Genomic DNA, 21,740 nt, shown 5'->3' with positions numbered 1-21,740 from the left:
AGCCTTGTCTGCCTGGCTGAGGCAGGGACTTCTCAAGTGGCCACTGGGGAATGTCCCCTGAGGGCTGCAGTGCTGTCGGAGAGAGATCCAAGCTTACCCGGAATTGGTTCTGCAATGAGAACAGAGGAAAAAGGGAAAATAGCATTCTTAACCCTTCCCAGTCATCACAAGAAACACAACTGACGTCCCTTGAGGGCTTTAATGATGTTGGCCCTGCACCAGGCACTCTAGATCCAGGTTGAACTTAATGAAACCATCTACAAGAGACACTTGAGTTGCTGGTCTAAGAAGAGACACCTTGCCTCCTCCTTGGGAGGCTGGGTTCTCCTTCCAGCCTGGCTCCATGCCTGCGCCTTGCCTTCTGGTGAGCACGTGGCTGCAGCCTCCCGTGCATTAGGGCATGCGACTTTTGAAAACAGCGTCCCTGCTGTGTGATCTTGGACAAGTTATTCAACATCTCTGTGCCTCAGTTTCCTTATCCAGGAACCTGGGGTTTGGGGTGGGGGGATCCTCTACTGCATAGTACCGTGACTCACAATGAGTGAGGATGAAAAAATGGACGGCATGTTGGAGCACTGCGCTCAGTGCATGGCACAGAACTAGGGCTCTAGGATAAAAACCACCTCATTTTCCAGTCAAGGAAGTTGAGAATCAAAAAGATTAAGTAATTTGCCTAAGGCTACATAGCTAATGAAAGACAGCCAGGAGTCCAGCCCCAGGGAGTGACACTCTAAAGCCCCACTCCACACTTCAGGCCTGAAGGACTCCAAGTTAAACTAAACTCTCCTCCCTAATCACCCCTCAGAACCAGGTAAGGACGCAGCACAGGCTGGGGGCCTTCAGCCACTTGTTCTCCCAGTATGGCCTAGGACAGCCGCATGTCCCCTACCTGGAGTGTCTGGCATTTCTGGGCAGGAAACAGTCGCGGAGTGTCTGAGGCAGTCATTGAGGCAGCTGCTGAAGAAGGGCTGGATCTGCGGGCAGAGAGGGCAGGAAAAGGGCTCCAGAACTGTAGAGCGCCCATGCCTTCCAGCCAGCAGCGGCAATGTGAGAGGAGGGGATCCTGGCTGGCTACACCACGATCTCCAGGTGACCATCATCTCCCTCCAGCAAGGGCGGGTCAGCGAACCCCTGCCCAGGTGAGGGTGGGAGAACCAGACAGGAGAAAGGCAGGGGCAGTGCCTTACCAGGCAAGGAATCCTGACTGGTAGTGGTGCTTGGTGCCACAGAGAGGACAAGCTTTCCCCTGTCCACCAGCAAGAATGCCAGACTGTGCACGCTCCCCACTCCCGTCCACACCACACTCTCCACCTGTGCACGCTCCCCACTCCCAGCCACACCACTCTCTCCACCTGTGCACGCTCCCCACTCCCAGCCACACCACTCTCTCCACCTGTGCACGCTCCCCACTCCAGCCACACCACACTCTCCACCTGTGCACGCTCCCCACTCCCAGCCACACCACACTCTCCACCTGTGCACGCTCCCCACTCCCAGCCACACCACTCTCTCCACCTGTGCACGCTCCCCACTCCCAGCCACACCACTCTCTCCACCTGTGCACGCTCCCCACTCCCAGCCACACCTCTCCACCTGTGCACGCTCCCCACTCCCAGCCACACCACTCTCCCCACCTGTGCACGCTCCCCACTCCCAGCCACACCACACTCTCCACCTGTGCACGCTCCCCACTCCCAGCCACACCACTCTCTCCACCTGTGCACGCTCCCCACTCCCAGCCACACCACACTCTCCACCTGTGCACGCTCCCCACTCTCAGCCACACCACTCTCTCCACCTGTGCACGCTCCCCACTCCCAGCCACACCACTCTCTCCACCTGTGCACGTTCCCCACTCCCGTCCACACCACTCTCTCCACCTGTGCACGCTCCCCACTCCCGTCCACACCACTCTCCACCTGTGCACACTCCCCACTCCCAGACACACCACACTCTCCACCTGTGCACGCTCCCCACTCCCGTCCACACCACTCTCTCCACCTGTGCACACTCCCCACTCCCGTCCACACCACTCTTCACCTGTGCACACTCCTCACTCCTGTCCACTCTATAATTGCCACCTGTTTTGCTCCCTGCACCTGTCCACACCACACTCACCCACCTGCACTTGGTGGCGACAGCACCCTTTAAGGTTGCGTAGAGTGAGTGTGACGTTGGATCGCTGGTGGAACTCTTCTGGTCTGGGCTGAGGAGAGAGGCGAGGATGGGTAAGGCTAGTTGGGATGGGTAAGGCTAGTTGGGTAAGAACACGCTGTGGCACTGCCATGGAGAGGCTGTCCAGAGCACCCCTTAGGAAGGCCAGGGGAGAAATGCTTTTCAGGTTTCTATTCCAGAAAAAAACTCCGTTTCTGCATGGAAGCTGGTTTATTGTAAATCCTTAAGTACGTGTAGTAACTGGTAAGTCTCTCTTTGCTTTGGCTGCTGGGAATTGGGGCAACAAATCTGTGTTCATGGACACCAGTTGTACAGAACCACACAGCACACGTTTCCTGCACTGAGCTGGCTTCATCGTATTACCTTTATTTCTTTTTTTTTAGAGATGGAGTATCACTCTTGTCACCCAGGCTGGAGTGCAGTGGCACAATCTCAGCTCACTACAACCTCTGCCTCCCAGGTTCAAGTGATTCTTCTGCCTCAGTTTCCCAAATTGCTGGGATTACAGGCGTGTGCCAGCACACCTGGCTAATTTTTGTACTTTTAGTAGAGATGGGGTTTCATCATGTTGGTCAGGCTGGTCTCGAACTCCTGACCTCAAGTGATCCACCTGCCTTGGCCTCCCAAACTGCTGGGATTATAGGCGTGAACCACTGTGCCTGGCATATTTTATGTCATTAATGTACTTTATTTATTTTTCAATTTTTATTTTCTTTTTTAGAGACAGGGTCTCGCTCTGTCCCCCAGAGTGGGTGCAGTGGTGCCATCATGGCTTACTGTAGTCTCGAACTCCAACTTCAAGCCATTCTCCTGCCTTGGCCTCCCAAAGTATTGGGATTACAGGTGGGAGCCACTGCACCTGGCCTTATTTCCTTATCTTTAGTTCCCCTTTGTCTCTATTTTCACATTTCTTCTTTTTTTTAAATCCTCAAATCCTTTTTGTAATAAACAAAGCAAAACAAAAAGAGAACAAGGGGGCGTGTGGGGGAGGAAAGAACAAAAAGGACTGAGTCATGGGCAGGACACAGTCAACTGCCTTTCTATCAAGCATAAGATCACTGGGGAAGAAAAAGGGCAAGGCGCCATGATCACTATGGACTAAGCACAGCCCTGAGTCGCGAGCTTCTAGCAACGCGGTTCTGTCAGACCAGCAGAGAAGAGACTCAGGGCTTGGAGGGGTGGTCCTGAGCTATGCTAGAGGGGTCAAAAAGAGCAGAGTTACCGCAGGTATGTGGTGCATGTGCTCAAAGCAACTGTGGTTCTCCATGTGCGGAAAACTGGTCAGCAGGATCTGGTAATGGGTAGATTCGTTCCACAGGGTGAAGCTCACACGCAGCTGGTGGGCCTCCAGGGTCTCCACGGTGATGTTGGGGTCCCACAGGCTGCCTGCCAAGGTCACACACGCAGGCTGGGAGTGAGGAGGGGCACGCACATGTGCATGTGTATGCATCCAAATAAAGCTCTCCCGGGCCAGCTGTTACCTGAGCTCATGCATGGCGTGGTTACCTTCATCCTGGCGTGCTCACAGTCTGTCGACCCAGAAAAAAGGAAACTCATTAAGCCTCTGCCTTCAGAAATCTGTTCTTCCAGACTCCTGACACCAAGAACAACAATCTTTTCCCCACTGGGAGCCTGTCCGCAGGTGGCCCCTTCAGAGTGAGCTCCAGGGCTGGACCCACCTTGGCATGGGTGCCAGCCTGCCTGTCTGATCCTCATCTCTCGGGGAACCCTCCTGATGCAAGTGCATTCCTCCTGAGCTTGCTGTGGGTGACCAAGCAATCTTGGTCCCCTCCAGTTCCTTCTCTGCCCACCCACAGCTTCTTGTCCCCGGCTGCCCCTGTCTTTGCACAGGCTGAGAAGACATGTGACAGGTGTGAATCACCATGGAGGGACAGGGACTGAGTCAGTCAACTTTAGGAACAGAAGCGAGAACTGAGGAGATTCACTCCTTCAACAAATACATATTGAGCACCAACTATGCACCAGGCCCTGTTCTTGGCACTGGAGGTACAGTGGTAAACAAGACAAAGCCCTGCCCCCTGGAGATTGCAACCCAGTAGAAGAGACCAATAAAAGCAAACACACAGCATGCAGTACCAGTCAGGGAGTGATGAGCCACACGCGGTGACATAAAGCAGGGTAAGCACAGAGTGTGTGTGCACGCGTGTGTGCAGGGTGGTCCCAGGATGAAGAAGGTCAACACCATCCTTAACAAGCATTTCTTGACCAACCTACTATATGCAAGGCAATTCGTGAGGTTCTGGAGATTATAAAAATGGGCAGAAGACCCAGGCTTTGTTTTCAAGTGGGCTTCCTGACATAGCTGGCTATGGACAGAGAATTGTAGAGAGACTGAGGCAGGAGAATCGCATGAGCCCAGGAGTTCGAGGCTGCATTGAGCTAGGATAGCAAAATTGCACTATAGCCTGGGTGACAAAGCAAGACCCTATCTCTATTAAAAACAAAAAGAGAGAAATGTAGGTAATAGCTGAGCTTCTGGGGAGGACAGAGAAGTAGAAGGTACATGTACATCAAAGGATGCCTGAGAAGAAAAGCCTGGCGGTAATCACAGGCAGTGTGGATAGGCATGGGGAGTAGAGCGCCATGCATGGGATGAACGTTGGATGATGCAGGCAGAATGTAAGGTGGAAGGAGAAGAGCAAGCCACGGAGGCTGGGACCAGGCTGGGGGCAGAGGCTGCAACTTCCCCACGAGTGGCTTGTGGCTTGCCTTTATGCTATTTTCTGGGCAGGCTGGGTGCTTCTCTAGATAGAGGGAGGTGCTCTGGTTCCCATAAAACTCCTGGGATCTTGGGCCACCGTCCACTGTTGTGCCAACAGAGAATGGCCTCTGCCTCAGGGAATGGAGGTTGCAGCACACACCAAAGCACTCCCAGTCTTGGCCTCTGTTTGTTCTGTGGGTCCCAGGTGCTGGCAATGCCAGCCAATGTCTTGCTGAGCAGGGGGGCTGGCATCTGTGCCACCTGGTGCTTCCTTCTCACAGAGGCCATTGGGGAGGGAATGTCTTGGGAGGATGCTCTTACCAGGCACAAGGAAATTCTTGGACTGGTGGTTTGGGTCCCCATCAGGGATGGGCTTGGGCAGGTGGTGAACGGTCACCTCATATTCCTGGTCAGGGTCAACCACAAAGTGGCTGAAGGTAAAACGCCACTGAAGAGAAGGGAGGAAGGGAAGGTGGATGGATTACACACACCTCTGTCACCCATCTATGCCCAAAGACCCCCGTTCCCACCCACTCCCGAATATTCAGCCAAAAATAAGAACAAAGCAACAACCACAGCAAAATCCAAGGTCAGGGAAATCAGTATCTTTGTTTTTTGTTTCCTCTGGTCCTTTCTGCCTGTTTTTTTTTTTTTTTTTTTTAAACCTGGATCTGGCCTCATCAGTAGACAGTGAATAAGGCAAAAGAATTTGGGGAAAGTGGAAGTAGTCCCACCCCTCCCACCTGCCCTCTCAAATTCTAGGACAATGGGTATGAGAGGGCGGAGCCAGGGGACTTGGGGCTATGGAGATCTGGCACACGCCAGGCAGGTAAAAACTATTTGTCAAATGATTCTTCCTCCTCAAACGGAAAAGCCAGGAACCTCTTGAGACCATTATGGAGTAAAAAGGTGCAAAGGACAAGCTAGAGACCCCCACTCACCCTGGGCCAGCAGGCACCTCAGTTGCAATGATATTTGAATTTGTGCTAAGTTATTTTCTGGGTGTTAGAGATTACAGACATCGACTCCAACCCCCATTCTAGTTACCCTGGTGGAGGGGCCGGGGTCCTTTGCTTCTAAGTGGACGGAGGAACCTGGTTCTCACCATTCGCATAGCAGTCAAGTTTGGGGGTCCTAATTTAACATCGGAGAGGGGTTCTGCCTTTGCTGCTTGAGTTTGTGGGAGATCTAACTTGTTTTCAAGTGACCATTTGCAGATTTAAACCAGTAGTCTTCAAACTAAGGCTCGCATCGTGATGACTTAAGGGTTAAGCACCAGTTGCTGGACCCCACCCTAAGAGTTTCTGGCCTGGGAAGTCTGGGGTGGGGCCAAACATCTCTACCACGTTCCCAGGTGAGGCTGAGGCTGCTGGTCTACGGACCACACTTTGAGACCCACTGCTTTAAACAAACTTAAACAAGAATCAACATTTCACCATTTAGCTGTGAGCAGCAAAATGAGACTAAGCTGTTGTAGTGCTCATTTGCCCACCTACAGCAGTTCTTTGGTCTGGGCGGTTTTTTCTTCCTGAAGGTAGGCCCCAGCTGAATCCAAGTTACACATAAAAGATGTTACACAAAGTTACACAAAGATGGCAGGAGGTAGGGCTGTGGAAGCTGCCTTCCAATTCAACTTCCTTTCCGAACGAATAGCTAGGTAAAGTGGGAAGAAAAACCAGGGGTGAGCAGGTGAGGGACGCTTTCAAAAATACGCTCTGTCCCTCACTATTGCTCACGGCGGCCACACCACTTCTCTTTTGACTTCTGCCCATCTCAGGCTGCCATTCTGAATTCCACAGACTCCCTCAGCACCTCTGGGTCTCCCCCACTCTAAATCAGGGTCTGAATTTGGGGACAAGAAGTCTGTACTGGTGTCATCAGTGGAACATAATCCACTCAGGAGCTGTGTTCTTACCCGCCTGTGGTGATGCCTCAGTTTGGACAGAAACTCAAACCTGACGCACAAACGTTCATTGGTGTTCAGCTGCAGGACAGATAACTCTGCACCCTCGAGGTACAGGATGCTGGCTGCAGGAGAGGGAGAAGAGAAGACAAACAGATGCAGATCAGCCAAGACAAGTGCTGGGTGTGTCACTTCCCTATCTGTTGCGGTTGTTCACTCCTAAAAGAAAATCTGCCGTCTTACCCAACTCTCCACATCCTGTTCCTTTCAGTTCACTCTCTGGCCTCAGCCTACCGCCTTGCAGACAGTTATTTCCCAGCTGGGCAAGGAAAAATGACACTTTACACTGGGCTAGAAGTAAAGGCTTTGCAAACTTGTGGTGAGGGCTTTGACAATCTGGCATGGGTGTCAAACACAGCCATCCCCACCATCCTCACGAGGTTGTGGCTGTCAGCAGGAGCACTGAGGGCGGGGACTTCCAAAAAGAACTTCCCCCATGCCCCGTTCACAAATCTGGGGCTAGTGCTCATAAGCCCCAATCGTCCCAATTCTGTAACATAAACTCTCCATTCCTGAATAGGCTTGGGGGACGTTTTAAAAGTGCTGGCCCCTAAATTCAGGGAACAGGTTGACAAATGTGTTACCATTTTCCACTTCATTTTTGGTACTGTAGTCACAAAATTAACTGCTTGCTTTTTTTTCCCCTCAGGGTGCTAAAAATATTAGGTTGAAGGAAGTCCTTTCATGAAGAATGGTGTGATGAGAAGGTATCACTGTGGGTTAATATCTAAAATGCTGAACAAGTATTTGACTGCATGAAATGACGGATCCTTATAGCACTAAATTTGAACCCCCATGTCTGAGCACAGGACTGGGAGCCCAATCCTGAGCCTGACTGGGAGAGCCACTTGGAGGCAGGGAGAATCCCCCAGGGCCCTGCTGGCATGCCCACTCACCGTCTGTCTGCAGTGTCCATTCGATGTGAGCCACGGGGAACAGGTCTCCTTGTTGGGTGTGGGCAAAGTGCAGCTGGATCTGCAGGTCCTTTGGGGAGGAGGGGGTCAGGTTTCGAGGGTGAATCCAGCTGTCATCCAGGCAGGTACCTGGCAGCCAGGGAAAAGCAACATTCAGAGACTTATAGCCGAGACCCTGAGATGCCCCAGCAGCAGGTACAGACAGCTAGACAGCAAACAGCTCAGGGGCCCGCGGCCTTCCAGCCTGTGGCCCTTGGCCGCGTCCTCAGCTTTACTGCCCTGCTCCCTCTTCTCTAATGTTTACTGGGGTCACTGCAAACCTCTCAAGTCTAAAGGGAATTTTAGGAGAGAAGACAAAGTACACAAGTTGATTTTGAGAAGAAGTTGTGATTGGGAATAAGGGCACAGGAGGGATGCAGTTGTAGTAAGAGCTGCTTTATTGTTATATGTCAGGGGTCTCTAATTGGCTCAGACACTTGAATATGTGCCTCTTTGAATTAAAACAAAACAAAATCAACAGCACAGATGTCTCTCACTTTACAGTGACAAGCTGTGGCAAATCAAATTATATTATAGATACAGTAGGGCAGCTCCCCAGAGAATACTTTCACAATCCAAATGACAGTTCTGTTTCTCCTTTCCTGACTTTTGCATAATGAATGTTCTCGACAGGAAGCGCAGGTGCACGCATCCACAATTCTCCGGGAACCCTCCTGCGGATGGCTGTAGCTCACAGCCTGAACCTGGAGTGGCATGGCAAGACTTCTGTCAGAAGTTGGCAGCAGGCTCTCACTTGATTAAGAAGGCAACAAGAAGAAGAACAGAAAAAGATGACTTACTATTCTTGACCGTGCAGTTTAGCCCCTGTGGAAAAAAGAGGGTGGTTATTACAGCTGGGAAAAGGCTTGAATTCACATGCCAGGGCCAGATGCTCTCCACTGGCTCATTCTCAGGAATGCCATCTACACAGCCTGCCCTTCTCACTTTTTGGGGAATAGGATGAGGAGTGAGTCCAGGGGATGGCAAAGGGAATGGTGCTTTTTTTTTTTTTTTTTTGAGATGGAGTCTTGCTCTGTCGCCCAGGCTGGAGTGCAGTGGCGCGATCTCAGCTCACTGCAAGCTCCGCCTCCCGGGTTCACGCCATTCTCCTGCCTCGGCCTCCCAGGTAGCTGGGACTACAGGCGCCCGCCACCACGCCCGGCTACTTTTTTGTGTTTTTAGTAGAGACGGGATTTCACTGTGTTAGCCAGGATGATCTCGATCTCCTGACCTCGTGATCCGCCTGCCTCGGCCTCCCAAAGTGCTGGGATTACAAGCGTGAGCCACCGCGCCCGGCACAGGAATGGTATTTTATGAGGAACTGCTATGAGCTGGGACCTTGACAATTTTAAAAGACACTGAGAGGGTTCTCTTGGAGTGCCCTGAGAAAAGGGCCCCTTCATCTCCTAAGGTTTCCAACCTTCCTGGATAACACTGCTGCAAGAGGTGCGGAAGGGGTGAAGGGCAATATTTACAGTTTCTGTGACAGATCTGTTGGGGAACATTCACTAAGTCCCTACAAAGTCGCTAGGTAAAGTATGCCAGGCCCTGTTCCGGGTGATCGTGACGAGGTATTATCCTCAGCCCATTCTGCAGATGAGGAAGCTGAGGCACCCATGTTACATTATATTGCCTCCCTCTTGGGCAGTATGTGTTAACCTTCCAAGCCTGAGGAAATCCTGATGGCCAAATTTAGAAGCCCTAGTGACAAATGCTACCAGGGAAATGTAACCATTAGGAAGGAGCTCAGGCTCAGGTGTCTCCAGTTCTCTAACTGGCAAAACAGACCAAACGCATCCCGGGGTGGAAAGTCAGATGCTGAGGCAGACCAGAAACACAATCTCAAGGCCAACAAAGTGACTGGTGTGAGTAGGGTGCCAGGGCTGACACCCTCCTCTCTCTTGAGAGGGAACAGAGAGGTAGGGCTAAGCACAGGAGAAGACCCCGTGCCACCAGGGTTCATTTACAGAGTGGTCACACACAGGATGACATCTGCACGCACCTAGGATTGACTCTAGCAAGCTATTTCACCTGGACCCTCCTTCTCTGGGACCCCAGTTCATAAGTGCTTCTCGCCCTGTTCAGCTCCTGAATTCTCCCCTACAGGTCCCGGGCTAGCATCACCACCCCACTAGGGGGCTCCGCACATGTTCCCAACAAAATCCATCTGGCTGCCTAGGCTCACACTAATAAATGTCACTCTTTCCTAAATGGCGAGAAGATTAACTCCCCTGAGTCCTCTCATTTTTCCTCTCCCTTAAAATTCCTAGGATGTGGAGGATAAAAAAAAAGCGGTTATTTCACCTTGAGATGGGGAACTCTTCTAGAGAAGGCAAACAGATACATCATTTGGAGTAACTTCCTACTAGCCACTGGGAGCTACTCAATAACACTGCAGGATGATGCCCATGATGAAAAGCTCTTGTCTTCATGAAGACCACAAGGAAAGTGGAAGGGTCTGACAACACACTTGGTTGATTCCCAGTGGTGCAGGCAGGTGTCCTCTCATTCCCGAGATGGAGGGAAATAGTTTGGTATGCCCTATGGAATACTGTTTTTGGTCTTGGTTTCTGATAGTTGTGGTTGCATATAAGTCTTTTCCTTCAGTTACTATTAGGTTTATAGTTTTCATTCAAAACAGCTCTGAACCTCATCATATACCTCTCCAGCACTGATTAACAAACAAAGTTTGTTAATGCACCACTAGATTATGGTGCATTGTTCTTTTGATATTCTGCTAGATTACATTTGCTAATATTTTATTTAGAATTGCATGGATTTATGTTCATAAATGAGATTGGTCCATAGTTTTTCTTTTTGTATAAGATTTGTCAAGTTTTAGAATTAAGCTTATACTAGCTTTAAAAAAAATGGACAGCTTTCCCTCTTTTTCTGTGGTACTGAATGGTCATCAATAGAGAATGGCTGAATTAAGGTGAGATCTAGTTTAAATCTAAATGTCCATCAAACTAGAAATGGTTGAATAGATTGCTATCTACTATGGAATATTATGCAAATATTAAAGAGAATGAGAATTAGTTGCATAGACATCTGTTGACCTGCAGATGGCTGGAATGTGTTGATGAGAGAGGAAAATAAGTTTCAAATAACTTTTTATAGTATGATCCCAATTTCTATGGAAATAAGTCATGAAAAAGATCTCCCTGAATATATATATATATATATATATATATAGAGAGAGAGAGAGAGAGAGAGAGAGAGAGAGAGAGTGTGTGTATGACTAAATGAGAATAGAAACATGTTAACAGGTGTTAACACAGTTTGCTGGGGGCAAAGGGCACACAAGCAGAGGAGATGGCATGAGGGAAGATAAGGGGAAAAAAGATTTAATCAAAACTGAAAAATATACATATAGGTGAAATATAGAATAACAATTCTATTAGAGGTAATAGCGCATTGACCATATACACATATTTTCTCCCTCTCTCCAAACAATATAACAATTATAGGAAAGAACATTTTTTTTTGTAAATTCTCAAACTCAAAGAGCCAAACTCAGTGGACAAAAGATGTGAACAAAATTTTAAAAGTCCTTTCCAACTTGGCCCCAGCAGCATAGCTCCTGTAAAGAAGAGTGTTGGCTGGGCGCAGTGGCTCATGCGTGTAATCCCAGCACTTTTGGGAGGCTGAGGTAGGTGGATCACCTGAAGTCAGGAGTTTAAGACCAGCCTGGCCAAGAGATGGTGAAACCCTGTCTCTACTAAAAATACAAAAATTAGCTGGGTGTGGTGGCATGTGCCTGTAGTCCCAGCTATTTGAGAGGCTGAGGTGGGAGAATTGCTTGAACCTGGGAGGCAGAGGCTTCAGTGAGCCAAGACTGTGCCACTGTACTCTATCCTGGGCGACAGAGCGAGACTCTGTCTAAATAAAATAAAATAAAATAAAATAAAGTAAGATAAAATAAAATAAAAGGGCTATTCTGTCACCTGCCACCAATGAGGTGGTGACACCAGAATATGCCATCAGCATCCACAAGCACACCCATGGAGGGGACGTCAAGCAGTGTGCCCCTTGGTCACTCAAAAAGTCCCAGAACTTTGCCATGAAGGAGATGGGGACTCCAGATATGCTAACACCAGGCTCAACAAAGCTGTCTGGACCAAAGGAATAAGGAACGTTCCATACTGTGTCCATGTGCAGCTGTCCAGAAAGCATGAGGATGAAGATTCACCAAGCAAGCTCTATACTTTGGTTACCTGTGTACCCATTACCACTTTCAGAAACTGACAGTCAGACATTGTGGATGAGAACAAACTGTTGATGTCAAATAAAATTATAAAACCTCAAAAATGAACAAATGAATGAATAAATAAATAACTGTCCAAGTGGCAGCAGAGTAGGCAGCTGGCTTGTGCTGAGTGGAGGAACTTCTGTCTGAATGCTACAAAAGGGAGTTATTGATAAGGAGGCCAGGGGCCCCTCAGAACCTTATAACGTTCAGGGCTTAGGGGCAGGGAGAATTAAGTGAAGGTCTACATATGGAGTGTTGGGAACCTTATCCTCTCTTTCCGTGCTCTGATCTCAGAATGCTGGCAGCCAGGCCCAAAAAAAACACCTCCAGATTTCAGCATTTGGAGGTCACCCAATAGGCCAGGTTCACGATTAGCTTGACCTCCTATACAGTGAAGTCCAATGTTCAATAAACCTTAACTACACAGAGCATTTAATCAGCTTTTAGGACTTCATTCTTAAAATATTCTCAGACAGCCAAGGAGTACCAGATATTTGAGATAGGTTTTCTGTATGAAAAATAGATCAAAACAATTAAAAAATGCTCCTGGAAGGAAAAAAAAAACAATGCTGTTAACACAATTAAACCAAACAAGTAAAATTATTATAGCCCCGAAGAGATACAACACTGCATCTGTAAGACAGGGGCAGGACACCATGGACAAATGAGCAGGCAGAGAATGAAAACTGAACCTTGAAACTCAATAGAAGTTCTACTAAATAAAAATTCAATAGAAGGGTTAGTCTATGAAATTGAGGACATTTCTCTGAAAGCACAAATAGAATAGGAAAAAATATATGATCATTAGAGATTCAATTTAGGAAACAAAATATGATTGACTAGATTTCTAGAAGGAGATTAACAAAAAAACAGAAGGAAGAAGTTATTTTTTAAAAAAGGAAAGAAAGAAAATATTCTGGAAGAGAAGGACACATATTCCCCGAGAGTGTGGAAAAACTCAAGCTGTATTTTTCCTCTGCCCTCACATCACCACAACAATCAACAGAAGTCACAGAAGACTTCTGTGACTACATATTGGCGGGGGGTGGTTTCTTCCCACCACCAAGCAAGCAATCAATTCGGCAGCAGACACCAGCTGGGTATCCTCCAATTTAATTCTGACACTATTTGGAGATAGCATCAGATCCCACAGGTTGAGTGCTCAGTCCCCAAGACCGCCCACCCCCTAGACACCAGTGGTAAGTCTGGGCCTCCAGAACTTCTAAGACCAACCGGGTTCAACGTGAGATTCTCATGCTCCTCTCTTTCAGTTCAATTAATTTGCTAAAGCTGCTCAGAGAACTCAGGGAAACACATTTCCCAGTTTATTTTAAGGATATCACAAATAATACAGAAGAAAAGGTGAGGTATAGGAGAAGGAGTACAAAGCTTCCATGCCCTCCTCAGGTGTGCCACCCTCCAGGAACCTCCACATGTTCCACTACCTGGAAGCTCTCTGAACCCCGTTTTTATGGAGGCTTCATGTGAGCATGACTGATTAAACCACTGGCCATTGCAACTTCAGGGGGCCTTCAGTTCCCTCTCCCCTTCCCAGATGTGATGGGTAAAGGGGTGGGGCTAAACGTCCCAGCCCTCTAATCCTAACTTGCTTCCCGGGACCAGCCCCCATCCTGAAGCTGCCTAGAGGCTGCCAGCCACCAATGAATCATTAGTATATAAAAGATACAATTTTGGAGATTCTAAGGATTTTAGGAGTTCTATGCCAGAAAAAGGGGTTGAAGACTAAATACATATTTCACAGTATCACGTTGCCAAATTAAAAAGGTTACTAAATGGCCTGCACAAAAACAACAACGAAGACCCAGACCAAGGCCCCAAATCTTGAAACTGTTGTAATATCAGGAATAAAAAGAAGATCCTAAAAGTTTCCAGAGAGAAAAAAATAAGTGTCATATAAACCAATAAGACACATAATAACATTGACTTTTTTTTTTTTGAGACAGAGTCTCGCTCTGTCACCCAGGCTGGAGTGCAGTGGTGCGATCTCAGCTCACTGCAAGCCCCGCCTCCCAGGTTCCCCCCATTCTTCTGCCTCAGCCTCCCAAGTAGCTGGGACTACAGGCGCCACCACCACGCCTGGCTAATTTTTTTTTGTATTTTTAGTAGAGACGGGGTTTCACTGCGTTAGACAGGATGGTCTCAATCTCCTGACCTCGTGATCCGCCCGCCTCGGCCTCCCAAAGTGCTGGGATTATAGGCGTAAGCTACGGCGCCCGGCCAATAACATTGACTTTCTTAGCATCTGTACTGTTTGCTAGAAGGCAATAAAGCAATGCTTTCACAATTCTGAGGGAAAATTATCTTTAACACATAATTTTCACACCCAGCCAAATTATCAGAAAAAGGTATGAGGGTAGAATAAAGATATGTTGACATGAAAAGACTTAACATATATGTTCCTGATATATATGTCTATATCCATCCCTCATACATATGCTTAGGAAATTACAGGATGATATTCTCCAGCAAAATGAGGGAGTAACCCCTGAGGAAGAAGACACAGGATCCAGGACATGGGAGATTAGACCATGACAGGATGTCTGTTCTGGTCTAGACCTGTTGTGCCACAGGTCTAGAGAGCACAGACCTTGCTGGGGCTGGAGAACAGTGTGCTCTAGGAGGAAGTTCTCTGGGGAAAGCGGGGGATGGAATTGATGGAATATCTGATGATTTGGAGGGAAATGATATGACAAGTCTGATAGAACAAAACTAAGACTAGTTACATGAAACATTATGCAAGTGAAGAATTAAAGCAATTATTATCTCTGGGGCAGGAGGGGAGGGGAATTGTACCAGAAAAAATATATAATCAAAGTACACTTACTTGCCTCAGCAGTGAAGATTACTTAATTGTTATATAAATGCTGACTATTAATTTAACTAAAATCATGATTTAACTGTAATAAAAAACAGGGAGAAGTGGTGGCAGAAAGATAATGTAATTTTCATCTATTAGAAGTCAATAGATAATATCTAAAATTAACAAATCATGAATTAACACTATAAGCATGTTTAGAAATATGGAGGTATATCTCAGAAGAATTAACTAAAGGAATCATATTTGGGGAGCAGGTTTAGGGGTGGCGCAGGGATCTACTGTTTTTTGTTTTAAACATCTTAGTACCATTTTTAAAGGAGGATCACCATACGTAACTTGACAAAAATTAATTAAAAGATAGAAGTTTATCTATGATGTAATGCCAAACAAATGAAAGGACTGAAAAGTAAGATAAATGAATGAAAACATTAATTTGTTTAGTGGAAGAAAGAGTAGACATTTTTTTCCTTATAATTTAATTTCATGGCTCACGCCTGTAATCCTAGCACTTTGGGAGGCCGAGGCAGGTGGATTGCCTGAGCTCAGGAGTTCGAGACTGGCCTGGCCAACAACGGTGAAACCCCATCTCTACTAAAATACAAAAAATTAGCCAGGCATGGAGGCGTGCGCCTGTAGTCCCAGCTACTCGGGAGGCTGAGACAGGAGAGCTGCTAGAACCCAGGAGGCAGAAGCTGCAGTGAGCAGAGATTGCGCCCCTGCACTCCAGCCTGGGTGACAGAGCGAGACTCCGTCTCTAAGAAAAAAAAAATTTATAGAATTACATAACATTTTAAATAAAGCAAAAAAAAAAAGTGTTCGGGATCTTCTTAGGATATTACTAAGACATATCTTGTCTTGTCCAACAAATTCCTCTCCAATAGTCATCCCTAATTTCAAACCTCTCATTCGTTTTTTTTTTTGTTTGTTTGTTTTTTGAGACAGGGTCTCACTCTGTCATGCAGCAGCATGCTCAGGGCTCAGTGCAGTGTTGACCTCTTGGGCGCAAGAGATCCTCCCACTTCGGCCTCCTCAGTAGCTCAGACTAGAGACATGCGCCACCACACCTGGCTAATTTTTGTATTTTTTGTAGAGACAGGGTTTTGCCATGTTGCCCAGACTGGTCTTGAACTCCTGGGCTTAAGTGATTCCCTTGCCTCAGCCTCCCAAAATGCTAGGATTACAGGCGTGGGGCCACTGCCCATTCTTTAAAACTAGCAGAATCAGAATATTATCTATGAGCTACCTGCTTGTGAATGGCATTACGTGAGGCATCTTGCAGAAATCAGAGGGGGGATTGTCATGACAATGAAGGTGATGGCAGCTGATGTTTATTGAGCTCCTCTTTTGTGTCTGGCATCATGCTAAGCACTTTGTACATATATCTCATTTGATCTTGACAACAATCCTATGAGCTAAGCACCCTTATCCCAATTGTACTGATGAAAAAACTAAGACCCAGGGAGGTTGGGTAAGTGGCTCAAGGTCCCACAGAGCTGGCATTTGCATGACGAAGTTTTGCTCCAGAATACATGATCTTAATCTCTGCTGCCTTGTCTCTCTAAATAACAAAAGGGGCCAGGTGTGGTTGCTCACACCTGTAATCCCAACATTTTTGGAGGCCGAGGTGGGCAGATAAAGAGTTCGAGACCAGTCTGGCCAACCTGGTGAAACCCTGTCTCTACTAAAAAAATTAAAAAATTGGCCAGGCGCATTGGCTCACGCTTGTAATCCCAGCATTTTGGGAGGCCGAGGCAGGTAGATCATTTGAAGTCAGGAATTCGAGACCAGCCTGGCCAACATGGTGAAACCCCGACTCTACTAAAAATACAAAAATTAGCTGGGAGTGGTGGTGCGCACCTGTAATCCCAGCTACTTGGGAGGTTGAGGCAGGAGAATCGCTTGAGCCTGGGAAGTGGAGGTTGCAGTGAGCTGAGATCGCACCACTGCACTCCAATCTGGATGACAGAGTGAGACCTTGTCTCAAAATAAAAATAAAAATAAAAAAATTGGCCAGGTGCGGTGGCTCACACCTGTAATCCCAGCACTTTGGGAGGCCGAGGTGGGCAGAACACTTGAGGTCAGGAGTTCCAGATCAGCCTGGCCAATATGGTGAAACCCCATCTCTACTAAAAATAACAAAAATTAGCTGGGCATCATGGTGCATGCCTGCTAGTCCCAGCTACTTGGGAGGCTGAGGCAGAAGAATCGCTCAAACCTGGGAGGTGGATGTTGCAGTGAGCCGAGATCATGCCACTGCACTGTAGCCTGGGCGACAGTGTCTTTCTGTGTCAAAAAAACAAAAAACAAAAATCGGCTGGGTGTAGTGGTGGGCGCCTGTAATCCCAATGACTCGGGAGGCTGAGGCACAAGAATTGCTTGAACTCGGGAGGCGGAGGTTGCAGTGAGCTGAGATCGCACCACTGCACTCCAGCCTGGGCGACAGAGCAAAACTCTCTCAAAATATAAATAAATAAATAAATAAATAAGGGATACCTCCAATAGGCCACTATTCTCTACCCACAAGGTGAAGGTTAAGAGGAAGAAATGGAAGATTGTATTCAATTCTGTGCCTCAGTGAACACTACTGAGTGCCTGACAGAGAAAGTGGGCTTTGAACTTACAAGCACAGCCTGCTTTCAATCTCACCTTAGCACTCATTAGCTGTGCGACCTTGGGCCAATAACCCAGCCTCTCAAAAGCAGGTTCATCCTGCCAACCTTGTAAGCTGTCGTTGAGTATGGGATGAAGGAATACTTGTGAGCCACCGGCACAGTGCCTGGCACAAAGAACACAACTTTGTAGCCTCTGGAAGAGTGGCATGATGAAAGTGGCTTCTGGCAAGCAAAAGATAAAGGGGTTAAACTGAGCAGCTGTTCTACAACCACAAGTCAAAACCGCAAACGCTCAGGAAAAAAGACTCTGTAATGAAATACACATCCTGTCTATGAAATTACGTGTTAACATTTACCCTGACCAACTCTTAAGTTGCTGCTGTCTTTCCTATGGGCATTCCTCCAGGCTGGCGGTCATGGGAAACCTGCATGAAGCCTAGGCAGCGAGAACGGCTAACCAAAAGGAAACTCCCAGGGAAATGCAATTATTGATGGTTTCTCGTGTAATGATTTCTGTGGGGAAATCAGTCATCTGGGTTTTGAGGTGCTAACCCCAAGCATCTGGAACCATTGCTATGGTTGGTCTCAGCTTGCCACTACCTTCCAAGCAGAGCTGACCGTTCTTTCCTTCATTCATGCATTCTTTTGTTCAGTCAACACATATGTATCAAATAGCCCCCGCATCCTGTGCTCCAGCACTGAGCTAGGAACAGGCCAGGTGTGCAGAAGCCTCCTCCCTGTCTGAGGATAGTTATGGAAGGCTAAATCGAACTGGGCTTTGGACAGACACTTACATTCTGGAAGGTGGCATGGACTTACTTTGAGAAGGCTCACCCAGTCCTGCCTTTGTGGAAATGAGGGAACCCAGGCCCAGGCAGCCTCAAAGCCCGACTGCAGAGACAGTAAGTGCGATGCTGCCTGCAAATCCAGGTCCTCTGGCCACCTCTGTGGCCTTCCCTCCCCTCACTATACCACATTGCATCCACTAAAACACCAGTGAGGGACAGAAATTTGAAGGATGTGTTTTCTTTCTTTTTAAAAGAACTAGTCAATGGAGCCCAGAGCTGTCTATCTCTGGAGAAGAGCTGTCTGTGAGGCAGGTGTATACAGAAGAGAGAGAGAGGAAGGAAGAGAACGAGAGACTGCAGACAAATATGAACAGCAAGTGTCTCTCTTCAGCCCTCCCTGGAGCCAGGCCGTGCTTCTGCTCCTGACTTACAGTTGCTTCACTGTGCAGTGAAAGTCAGAGCTTGGCTCCCACGCCACGCACAGCAGAGTCCCATCCCCGCTTCTGGCATCTTTTCTCACTGTCCTATTACACAGACCCTCCATTCCGGCCACACACCGTACCCTGTCCCACTTAAGGACCTTGGCTCAGGCCCTTTCCACCACCTGGAATGCTCCTGCTACCCCCACAGGGCTGCCCAAATGCCTTTTCCATGAAGGACACCCCAACTGGAAGCAATTTTTCTTTTTCCTGGAATTCCGTACACTTAGCAGTTGTGCAAGCAGCTTTGCTAGACAGTTCCCTAACTTCAAGCCTTGTTCCTCCCGTAGATGGGTTAGGTCTCTGGATATTAGGGTCCCCAGAGTATTTATTTATAGTTCCAGTTCCCAGTATGGCGCCCTGTACTCTGCAGGCACCTGACCAATGGCTGTCAACCCAGGCGCACCAACCCTCCATATCAGAACGCTTCATACACAGCCTGCAGGAGGGACTAGCAGGGCAGAGGGACCTGCTTTGCCCAATAGTGGAAGTCACAGGACATTTCTCAACATCATTCACGATAAAAACATCTTTTTTTTTTTTTCTGCGACATAGTCACTCACCCTCCACCTTCTTTCGGTAAATCCTCCATAAAACTACATAAGGAGAAATATCCCTTTGTTTTACATCCTCTGACTCAGATACTGAGCATTATTCCTTGGGGTCAGCGGTGGAGGTGGAGGTGGAGGTGGAGGGGAGGAAAGATCCCCTCGGGGATGCGGGGAAGAGGAGAGTATATTGTGGAGGGGCACGGCGTTTTGCTCTTTTTTTGTTTTTTTCCTTAAGATGGTCCTGGCTCACAGAAAGGCCACTACCCGGCAGGCGGGTGGGTCACTTCCTGTGGGCGCAGCGGGGCTACGACTTGACAGCTACAAACGTTCGACCCTCCGACTGCGCTCTCACCGGGTTCCCAGACCCAGGTGGTGGTAGTCGGGGGTGGGAGTGGCGGGAAGGGCGCCGTCTTAAGAACCATCTGCCCATCCTCAGGGCTTCGCGCCTCTGGGGAGGTGGCCCTCAGCCGCCCTCGGCAGAGCTCTCCCCGAAACATGGTGCCGCGTCTCAGCGCTCCGGCCCCCGCGTGGCTCTACGACAGCGGGGTCCCTCTGGGGGCCGCGGGTGAGGGACTCCACCTTCCGCACGGACGACGTGGGCTCGCCCGGCTCCGTCGGCGGCATGAAGGGCACGGCTTGAGGGAAGCTCCCGAGGGCGCGATGGGCCTCCCGAGGGCCGACCGTGCCCCGCCGGGGTACGTGAGGGGCGCAAGGCGTGGAGCTGGGTCCAGACCCGTCCTGGCTCCTCCCCGGGCCCCTTCTCCACAGCCCCTTTCTATCAGCCCTGGCCGCCCCTCCGGCCTGGCCCAGCGCCGCGCCCTCCTTCCCCGAACTCCGCGGCCCGGGCGGAGGTGTCACTCCCGCCTCCAGTCACGACGGCGGGCCAGGTTGTGCAACACGCGCCGCGCGATGTGCCACCCACCCCCCCCGTATTCCACACCGCAACTCCCACCGCTCCGAGGGTCCTCCCCAGGCGCCGCGATATCTGTGCCCAAGGCTCTGAGCCCCTCTAAGCCCGCGGCGCGGACTTCCTGCCTCCCCAGCCCGGGCGCGTAGTCCCGACCGTCCGGCCCTCCGCGACCTTGCCCCGCGTCCGCAGCATCCTGGCGGCTACCGCTCCCCACGTCGAGTCTCACCGGCTGGGAGCAGACCAGCGCCCGGTGGTCCAGGAGTCGCAGGGAGGCGCCACCCGGGGCCAGCACGCCCAGGAGCAGCAGGAGCAGCCCCAGCAGGGGCCCCGGGACAGCGGACGGCGGGCTGCGTGCGGCCCCCATGGCCCGGCTGGCGTCGCGGAGGGCTCGGCCCCGGCTGGGGACGCAGCGAACGAACGTTCTGAGGCTTTCTTTTCCGCGGTGGAGTTCGAGTCGGCTCCACTTTGCTCGCTTCCGGCTTCCAGCCCGGGCCCAGGGGCGGGCCGGGCCGAGGGGAGGAGTTTAGTCTGGGACGGGGAGGGGTTTAGGGTGAGACAGGGCCCTCCCCCCGTTCCTCCTTGCGCCCCTCCTCTCGGCCCTACGCTCAGTCCTCCGGGCGTCCCTACCCAGTCCTTCCGGCGTCCCTCCCCGGCCCTCCTCCGCCCGCGCGCCCCAGGTGCGCTCCTCCCGCTGCTCCTGGGCCTGGCCCGTCGCGCCTCCAGTTGCACCCGCGTCGGGCTAGCGTCAACTCCAGCTGGAGCCTCGCCTGCCCCACATGCACCCTCCACCCTGGCCGTGCCGCAGCAACTGTCGATTTTAATCCTCCGCCCCCACTCACTTGATTCTTGGCCCTGTTCAGACTTCTTGCTTCTCTTGTGGGTCACTGGACGTGAAATCCCAACTTGGGATTTCAGGAAGTCCGTTTTCTTAGTCTCTGTCCCTTTTATTTTTGTTTTTTATTTTACTTTATTTTTAGACAGGGTCTCCCTCTGTCTCCCAGGCTGGAGTGCAGTGGTGCAACCGCAGCTCACTGCAGCTTCGGCCTCCCGGGCTCAAGCGATCCTCCTGCCTCTGCCTCCTGAGTAGATGGAAGCGCGGGCCATATCCCATTTTATTGTCCCCACCCCTTTGCCTGGTTCTGCTCGCTCTGCTTTCCTTGGCTTTGCTTTCTCTTTCTCAAGACAAGGACAGCTCCGGGCTCCAGGGAGGATGGGACAGCAGTCACTTCCAGCCTCCTGGCTCGGACTCGGGGACACTTGAGTTCCTGGAGGGCAGGCAACTTACCTGGTCTGTGAGACTGTGTCCCAGCCGCACCTAAGAGAGTCGTTACTTCCCAGAGGCTCACTCCACGGCCGCGGAAGCTGTCGCCAGCGAATTACACATTTCATGAGTCTCCTTCTTAGCACGCGTGCAGCCTGCGTCCTCTCCTCTCCGGACCCTGGAGGACCCTCCCAAGCCGGCCCGCGCTGCCTCTATCCTAGGTTCCTGCTTCGAG

The 21,740-nt window shown here is 49.8% G+C and overlaps 1 protein-coding gene and 1 pseudogene across 2 annotated transcripts in view, besides 5 other annotated features; one reads left to right on the top strand and one right to left on the bottom strand.

The window, feature by feature from the left end:
• The window catches only part of IL17RA (interleukin 17 receptor A), a 30,694-nt gene extending 9,994 nt beyond the window's left edge, over positions 1-20,700 (bottom strand). For both annotated transcript variants that reach the window (NM_014339.7, NM_001289905.2), the window contains exons 1-10: positions 20,471-20,700; positions 8,614-8,638; positions 7,757-7,903; positions 6,813-6,925; positions 5,219-5,345; positions 3,657-3,704; positions 3,398-3,561; positions 2,123-2,206; positions 890-974; positions 98-109 (exon numbers count right to left, since the gene is read on the bottom strand). In NM_014339.7, coding sequence (NP_055154.3) covers positions 98-109; positions 890-974; positions 2,123-2,206; positions 3,398-3,561; positions 3,657-3,704; positions 5,219-5,345; positions 6,813-6,925; positions 7,757-7,903; positions 8,614-8,638; positions 20,471-20,608 — 943 coding nt within the window. In that variant the 5' untranslated portion in view covers positions 20,609-20,700. The remainder of the gene's footprint in view (positions 1-97; positions 110-889; positions 975-2,122; positions 2,207-3,397; positions 3,562-3,656; positions 3,705-5,218; positions 5,346-6,812; positions 6,926-7,756; positions 7,904-8,613; positions 8,639-20,470) is intronic.
• Positions 11,763-12,085, top strand: RPL31P62 (ribosomal protein L31 pseudogene 62; annotated as a pseudogene).
• Positions 19,918-20,167: a silencer, noted in NCBI's record as "silent region_13432". NCBI's record gives its function as "represses an Ori minimal core promoter by ATAC-STARR-seq in GM12878 lymphoblastoid cells {active_cell/tissue: GM12878}" and the evidence as "EXISTENCE:reporter gene assay evidence [ECO:0000049][PMID:35858748]".
• Positions 20,208-20,307: a silencer, noted in NCBI's record as "silent region_13431". NCBI's record gives its function as "represses an Ori minimal core promoter by ATAC-STARR-seq in GM12878 lymphoblastoid cells {active_cell/tissue: GM12878}" and the evidence as "EXISTENCE:reporter gene assay evidence [ECO:0000049][PMID:35858748]".
• Positions 20,558-20,677: a silencer, noted in NCBI's record as "silent region_13430". NCBI's record gives its function as "represses an Ori minimal core promoter by ATAC-STARR-seq in GM12878 lymphoblastoid cells {active_cell/tissue: GM12878}" and the evidence as "EXISTENCE:reporter gene assay evidence [ECO:0000049][PMID:35858748]".
• Positions 20,698-20,917: a silencer, noted in NCBI's record as "silent region_13429". NCBI's record gives its function as "represses an Ori minimal core promoter by ATAC-STARR-seq in GM12878 lymphoblastoid cells {active_cell/tissue: GM12878}" and the evidence as "EXISTENCE:reporter gene assay evidence [ECO:0000049][PMID:35858748]".
• Positions 21,471-21,640: an enhancer, noted in NCBI's record as "experimental_62296 CRE fragment used in MPRA reporter constructs". NCBI's record gives its function as "activates a minimal promoter by MPRAs in K562 erythroleukemia cells, with activity observed for both the introgressed and non-introgressed 22:17565035 variant alleles {active_cell/tissue: K562}" and the evidence as "EXISTENCE:reporter gene assay evidence [ECO:0000049][PMID:34662402]".

This window comes from Homo sapiens, chromosome 22, assembly GCF_000001405.40.
Source record: "Homo sapiens chromosome 22, GRCh38.p14 Primary Assembly".
NCBI lineage: Eukaryota > Metazoa > Chordata > Mammalia > Primates > Hominidae > Homo > Homo sapiens.
The sequence above is the reverse complement of the archived record's forward strand: the minus strand, read 5'-3'. Positions and strand labels throughout refer to the sequence as shown.